Genomic DNA, 8,261 nt, shown 5'->3' with positions numbered 1-8,261 from the left:
TAAAATCCAGAGAGGAAATTAAAATAACCTTGGCAAATGTGGGATTGTGCAGTAGACATGTGTGGAACATAACGTTGCAAATAGACGTGGTGTTGGTGATAGTGAACATGATCGATTTTGAGGACTAACCTTTGTTATCATCAACCACGTCAGTGTGGTAGTTGGTTTTGTGTGGTGCCTTATTTCCAATATCTTATTTTTTTCAGATATGGAAACTGAGGCTCACATATGCAAGAGTACAAAGAAGAAAGGAAGGAAGAAAAAATTCTCCAGAATAGTGTCTATATGATATCAGATAAATGCTGTTGCCATTGACAGAGATAAGATTTGGAGAAGAGGTTCAAATTTGTATATAGTGAATTTAGTTTCTGAGAGGATATGTTTCGTTGGTTATCAGAACATCTATTCAATTTCACATTGAATGAGTTCCCCTAAAGGATTTAGATGTGCTTATTCATACTTGAGCATTCTTATTGTAGCAGAAGTAGAATCATATTTACTTTTAAGAAAGATTATCCACAGTTCGCTGTTTCTTATCAAAATATTAACAGCAATCAAACTAGAAAGCTGAGTGAGCAAAAAAAAAAAATGAAGCAACGGCACATGAATAAAAATTTTTAATATCATATTTAAACATATAGAATTATGTCCTTGAAAGGCCTATTTATTCCATTTTGGATTTATTTATATTTTTAATTCATATTCTTGACTTTAATTTAAAAAGCTCATTTTCAGAAAACAGATTATCTGATATATTATGTGTGTGATTGGTACTACTTTCTTCACACTGTTAACTTTTTAAAGTCATTATGTTTTTTTCTAGGACCGTTAATAATACGACACATTCAAATGTACTGTTACATTCACTTAGCATGAAGAAGTCACTAAAAACTGCAACCTGGGGTAATCTACTAAAGCTTATTTTCCTTTATACAGCTGACACACACACACACATATATATGTACACATATACAAATGTTAAATGTTTATATGTTAATTTGGCCATCTACCTTTATTATTATTGACTTTTGGCATAGAATTTCGCCTAAGCATTTCTACTTTTAAAAAGGCAATGAAAGAGCTTTTTAATTTTTATTTGACTTATATTTTTATTAGATAATTAGGCAATTTCCACGTATACCTTCATGTTTTAGGAATAATTTGACATGCTCACGTTTGCTAATCCTTAGATGTGTTTTCCACATTGGTCTTTTATTCAATTTAATCATTTCTCATTATACAAAAATTAACAATGTAATTTCATTTTTAAAATTATTTCGTTCAGTATATGTATTGGGCTATATGCTAAGCATCTTCCTGGGCACTGAAAATAGATGAGTCAATAAAACTCTTTACTTAATGGATTAAGTTTTTAACAGAATAGATAAGCCATAAATTATGATACAATGTGATACATTTTGAATTAGCGATAAACACAAAATACATCATGGAGGAGAGAATTGAGTCGGCAGCTAGAACTGATGGAACAAGTAAAAGAAGGCATGGAGCAAGATTCAAATATGCTTCAGCAATAACACAACCTTTGTGCCATCACTTATTTCTCTAGTGTCCAGCTTGTTGCCTCAGAACCCGTGTCCTTGAACCAGATCTTTATTCAAATGAATTTGGCCTGAAAGATACAACCTCTTTGTCACCTTTAGAGTGAGTAGCATGAGGAATATAATTGAAGGCATCTATCTGCCATAATAAATAAAGGCTTACTGTGTTAACCATCACACAGGATATTTAAGTTAGTTGTAGGAAAAAAAAAGCTGTAAAAAATTCTTAAATACCAGATTCTAAAATATGTATTTTTATTTAATAGCATATATTTGACAATATTTATATAATTAATATAGAAGAAAGATTAAATACCAGTGGTTAATATCATGTAAGCAATAGACATAGGGCAGACTTCTTTGAATGAGAGTGGGGAGAGGTATATCATCATGAATGATGGTAGACAGCCATACTCAGAGGCTGAAATAATCTTACAGCCAGCCTAAAGTAAGAAAAGAGAAATGGCTCTGGAAATTGAAAGAATTTTATTTCACTTTGAAGTTTACTTATAGGCAACTAAGCATATATAAGAATTCTTGTTACATAAACTAGAATTTATTTTTGTTATATAAAATTACTAAATAAATGTAAATATAGAAAATTAGGACCGAATAGTGGAGGAACTGAAATATGAACCAAATGTTAAGATTAAATGTATTTGCTGTCACTTAGTAAGTGAATGATAAATAACATATAGCAAATAATTGCTCCATTGGTTTAATTTAATCTTTTAATTAATATAGATACAGGGTTATTTTTTGCTGTTGCGTGTGTGTGTGTGCACATGTGTGTATTTTATGAGTAAAGAGAAGATAATGGAGAAGTCAAATTGAAGTTTGAGACAGCCTTTTTCCTTCCTATTACAAGAGCATATGGCAGAAGGCAAAATGCATTTAAAACAAATTGGTCTTTATTTTATATTTATCTAGTAGAAATAGATTCATTATAAAACAAGAGCTTTAGACTGACAGTCATGAGTCCTGGGTTTGATTTCAGACTTGATCACAAATTGGTTATATTATTTACATTCAGTTCTTATAATTCAAATAAGTGGTGTGGATGTGGATTAAATCCACTTGTGTTTTTATATTCGCCTTTGTTTTTTAGTAAATGCTATGGTTTCAGACCGCACAATCTGAGGACTATTTGCATTCTGACAGTGTTTCAGAAGACTGAAAAGGGTCTGAGCAACAAAGAAATAAATCTTTAATAATTGAGTTCAGAGACCATAACAGGTTGCAGGGTATAAATTTTGGGTAGTTGGCCTTCCTGGTGCCCATAAAATAGTACCTTATAGATGGTTTCTGTGTCCTGCCTACTTATTAAGGTCATTCCCAATAATAAAATGAAGCTGGGAACATAAGTTAACAGAAGCAGTTGCAGGCATTTGAAAGACACTTCTAGGGATGTATTTAATACAAATCACTCTTCAGTTCAGTCCAGCAATGCAATTATTTTTGTCTAAAACCTCTTTATTAGTAAATAGCCAAATAATTTTCCATTATGACATTAAGGGAAAGTGAATACTAAGATTTTATTGAAAAGTCCTTTATATTGAAAAAAAACCAGAAAAGTCTGGAAAATAATGTTTCAAATAACTGTGAAACCACCATTCTGTATCTACTCATAAATTTTCTATATTTTCTCTCAAATATTAGCAAAGCAATCTTTGCATATAAAACATACCCATTTTACTTAAATTTTTCAAGCTATTACATTCTTTTTTGAAAACGCGGAAACGATTTGAATCACTGAATTTGCATACAGGTATTCATTCCTTATCTTTACATTTAATTATAAAATGATTAGAAATAGATCCATGCACAAGTAGAAACATAACATATGATACAGTAGATATTACAAAATAGATTTTAGTAGGCTGAAATAATCTTACAGCCAGCATAAAGTAAGAAATGAACTGTACATTAAATCATATTTGGATAATAGTATTGTTGGTGGTTAGTAGATAACTACCATATAACATTTATTAATTTAAACTTTATTATAATCATATTTTTGAAAACAAATCTTTAAGATTATTTAAAATATAAAGGAATAGTAAAAAATAATACAACTAATTTATCTGTTTGTAGTCGGAAATAATGTCTTAGACAATTCACAAAAAAAAACATTTGCACAAAAAGTGATAAATGTGATCACATGAAAATTTGAAACTCAATCCAGTTTTCAAAATTAGTTTTATAAAAATGATTTACATGTATTAAAAACAAATTAAGGGAAATGGAAGTCAGGTAACACACTGAGTCTTTTGAATATTTAGTAACAATCACATAGAATAAATCTACTTTTTCTTTGTCCAGTAAAAGCACTGTGAAATTCATGAATTTTTAAAAATTTCTCAGAACACTATTTCTCTATAAAGTGTGTCTAATGACATCAATCTCACTGATTACTGTAAGATTTAAATGAGAGAAGATTTATAAGGTGACTGATGTATCTTAATTCTCTCTCATCCAGATGGGTGCCATGCAAAATACTGTTTAGAGGTGTTATAATTTCTGGTTTTTTTTTTTTTTTTTTTTTTTTTACCTAATAGCTTCTTGAACCAAGGACATGTATTTGCTGCTCTTTTAGTCATGTCTACTCTTGAAGAGTCCTGGCTCCCAGTTAAGAAGCTGTGTGATTTTTCCAGGCCTAACCATAAGCAATCACAAAGGCCTTACCTGACAAGCCTCAGGAGAAAAACTACCTCTCCAAACTAGCTAGTGCACAGCCACTACATTGCAGTCTCCAGAGAGTGTGACAATAAAAATCTCAGGCCCGCTGGTAAGCCATGCCCTTGTAAGCATCGACATTCCTAGCCTAGGTGTCTCTATTTCTAGGTATCTTCATATGAGGCCATCTGTATGGCCCTCTTCAGGTGCTTCTGCTAAGACCTCCTTATGGAGGGTGAAGTGGGGACAGAGAAGATGAGGGAAAACCGTGAATGCCCATTTCCTTTTTTTTTTTTTTTTTGAGGTGGAGTCTCGCACTGTCACCCAGGCTGGAGTGCAGTGGCACAATCTCAACTCACTGCAACCTCTGCCTCCAGGGTTCAAGCAATTCTCCTGCCTTAGCCTCCCCAGTAGCTGGGATAACAGGTGTGCACCATCTCACCTAGCTAATTTTTGTATTTTTAGTAGAGACGGGGTTTCACCATGTTGATCAGGCTCGTCTCGAACTCCTGGCCTCAGGTGATCCACCTGCCTCGGCCTCTCAAAGTGCTGGGATTACAGGAGTGAGCCACCATGCCTAGCTGAGCACACATTTCTTTACTGACTCAGTACTCAGTGCTTTTCTAATCCTAACCCTTTCCCATCATTTCCCCCAAGCATAGCATCATAAAACTGCCACAGCATTTGTTCTGAATTCCCTCTATAGTGAAATAATCCTCCCGCCCCCATCCATGCTGATTAAAGTGACTCTGAGTCTCTATGGAGGGAAATGTAACAGGGGGAGTTGTTGCTTTTTCTGGTTTAGATTCATTCTCATACCATTGCAGTAAACAATTAAAGCCTTATTGCTTTCAGAGTTATTTTTTATTGCCATTACATTCTTCCTATTGTCCCAGGACTCATAAAGTTATTGTAAACTATCTTAATTCATTGTGCTGCAATAATAAAATATCTGAGACTAAGTAATTTATAAACAACAGGAACTTGTTTTTCAAAGTTGTGGAGACTGGGAAGTCCAAAGTCAAGTCACCAGCAGGTTCAGTGTCTGGTGAAGGCTGCTTTCTCTGTTTCCAGGATGGCACCTTTAACATTGCATCCTCCAAAGGGGACTGGCAGTATGTCCTCACATGGTAGAAAGAAAAGAAGTGGCAACTACATCCCTTTGAGACTTCATATAAGGCGTTAATCCATTTATGAGGATGGAGTCCTCATGACATAATCACCTCCTAAATGCCCCACCTCTTAATACCTTTGCATCAGGAATTAAATGTCAACATGAATTTTGGAAGACACACAAACATTCAAACCATAATATAAACCTTCTTATTGCTCTTTCTATAATAAAACTTAGAACCACAGTATCAAACTAAAATACAAATACACACTAAACTGTGTTAATCTCATAATAATAGGAGACCATCTGGAGTGGCTGCTGCAAAGATGCTGGCTGCAGTGGGGGAGGCATGGCCAGGACTGCACATTCCACAAGACTCAATGGAAGCTAGGAATACATGGGAGCAATGACCACTTCTGAGTTAAAGGAGTGGGGGGTCCCTCCATCCTGGATGCAGCTCATGCTCCCAATGCATGCTCCAATTTTGGTGCAAAGTTGAGGCTGAGCCCAGGCACTGTTGTGACCTGGCTGGGTTTGCATGTGCTTGGGACAGCAATGACATGCCAGTCCCCTGCTGCCTCAGCCCCTTCCAGACTTTGGGCACCAATGAGCAAGGGAGGGAGGCAAAGGGATGACTGAGGGCAGCTGAGCGTGGGCCTGCAGGTGCCCCTAGGCACAAACAGTCTGGACACCGTGAGTGCCATGGATGGCAGGTTGATGGCAGCAGGAGGCAGATAGGCTCCTGGGCAGAAAGGGGTAGGTCCACTGTGAAGCCTCACCTTTAAGCCGGGGACAGCCTGAAGCCACTATGTAAGATGCCCCTTTGCTCTTCCTTTATCTTCTGCTATGATTTTGAGGCCTCTCCAGCCATGTGGAACTGTGAGTCCATTAAATCTCTTCCCTTTATAAATTACCCAGTCTTGGCTATATCTTTGTTAGCAGCATGAAAATGGACTAATACAATCTCCTTTGACTACTCCCTCACAGATGCACCCAGAAACAATACTTTGCAACCTCCAATCCAATCAAGTTCACACTTACTATTAACCATCACAGGACCATTAGAAGGCAGACTGTCTCCAGAGACACAGGTCACTGGGTCCAGGAGACCTGATGGGTCCCAGGGCTCCTCTCCCACCTCTGATGGTTCAGATTTCAAGGGAGGAAGGTGGACCTCCTCCTGGACACCATAGCAGACTTTCAGTTTTCCTCTCTAATCTGACCCCTCCACTCCTCTCTTAGTAGGACCATGGAGGGCATCTCAAGAAAAAGTTTAATCCAATATTTTCCCCAACCCCTTAGTTATAGTTGGGGAGACCTCTAGCTTACCATCCTTACCTTTGTTCTGTTCCTCACCATAAGGCGTCTTTGTCAAGGACTCCTCTATTCTGAACTCCCAGAGGATTACCTACTCCCCTAAAAGTTATTTCTCTTTTAAAGTTTACCGGCCCTCATACAAGATTCAGTTTCTTTCACCAGGATGAGACAGCTCTAGCCACAACATTGTTTTAAGAATTAGTCTGTTTTACTTCTTATTTCTGTTATTGTTGACACTAGATTTTTTTTCCTTCACATGCTTAACCTCCTGGTAAATTTTGTTTCTTCTCATCTAGAGACCATCAAACTTCAAGGAGTCACACAACTTGAGCCTTGGCTCCCTTTTTACTGAGGACCCTTAGATAGGCCTCTGAGAAAGATCTAACTGCTGTTTTCTCCAAAATAATGCCCCCTGTCAGCAGTTAAGAGCGATCATCATCTTCATCCCTAATGGCAGTTGGATGTACCGTTTCAGAAGAGGAATTTATGGCAGCAGCAGCCCATCTGCTTCAAAGACGCTGACTTCAGCAGGGAAGGCGTGGCCGGGGCTCTGCACTCCAGGGAGCCAGGGGGAGCGGGTAACAAGTGGGAGCCACACCCGCTTCTGAGTTAAAGGGGCGAGAGCCCCGCCCTCCAGGACGCAGCTGCAGCCATCCAAGCTTGGCTGCGGACCCAGGCATTCCTATCAACTCAAGGGCCTGGGAAGCTCCTCTGACCCTGCAGGCTTGGAAGTACCTGCTCCCACTGCCTGGCCTCTCCCCACTCCCGGGGTCCTCTCTGATTTCAGAGCAAAGTTAAAGTCAAGCCCAGGCTCTGTCGCAACCCCTCTAGGTGTGCTTGCACTCAGGACAGCACTGACACACCAGCTCCCTGCTACCTCTGCCCCTTTTGGACTTTGGGCACCAAGGAGCATGGGAGGGAGGCCGAGGTGGGGATAAGGGCAGCTTGGCATGGGCCTGCAGTTGGCGCTTGGCATGAACAGCCTGGGCACTGTAGGCAACGTAGCAGTAGGTTGATGGCAGCAGGAGACAGCTCCTGGGCAGAAAGGGGCGGGTCCCCAGTGAAGCCCCACCTTCAAGGCTGGGCCAGTCTGAAGCCTGGGGACTGGGCTGTCAGTTCTGCAGACCGGAGTGAGAACTTATGATGGATTTTCCGGCCCACCAATAGCTGCCCGTGAACTACAGGACAACCTGCCTGCTACTCACTGTGAGTCTCCCCTCCACTAAAGGCTGGACACTGTCGGGACGAGCTGCCTGGGGAAAGGAGCTACCCACTTCGGGTCCCCTGAGAGCTATATTGTCACTCAGTAAAGCACCTCTTTTCCTTCCTCACTCTCTAGTTGTCCGTGTACCTCATTCTTGGACGCAGAACAAGAAGGCGAGACCCCCCAAATGGTGAGACAGGAAGAGTTGTAACACAGAGGGCTGAAACACGTCCCTCTCCCCACCTCTTGCCATGTTGCAGGCGATCAGAAGAGAGAAGGTGAGAAGAGCTGCATTCCTTCGGGGAGCCAGACTTAGGAGCTCCCGAAGCCAGGGCTGTGACACCCTCTTTGGGGTTCTGCAGTTCCTGATATATCCAAGCTTCAGGGTCCA

The 8,261-nt window shown here is 39.4% G+C and overlaps 1 annotated feature.

The window, feature by feature from the left end:
• Positions 7,418 to 7,918: an enhancer, noted in NCBI's record as "H3K4me1 hESC enhancer chr21:21226074-21226574 (GRCh37/hg19 assembly coordinates)". NCBI's record gives its function as "activates a minimal SCP1, AML or CMV promoter by ChIP-STARR-seq in naive H9 embryonic stem cells {active_cell/tissue: H9 hESC(naive)}" and the evidence as "EXISTENCE:reporter gene assay evidence [ECO:0000049][PMID:30033119]".

The sequence above is a fragment of the Homo sapiens genome, chromosome 21, assembly GCF_000001405.40.
Source record: "Homo sapiens chromosome 21, GRCh38.p14 Primary Assembly".
Classification (NCBI taxonomy): Eukaryota; Metazoa; Chordata; class Mammalia; order Primates; family Hominidae; genus Homo; species Homo sapiens.
Note: the sequence above shows the minus strand (reverse complement) of the source record. Positions and strands in the feature narration are given on the sequence as shown.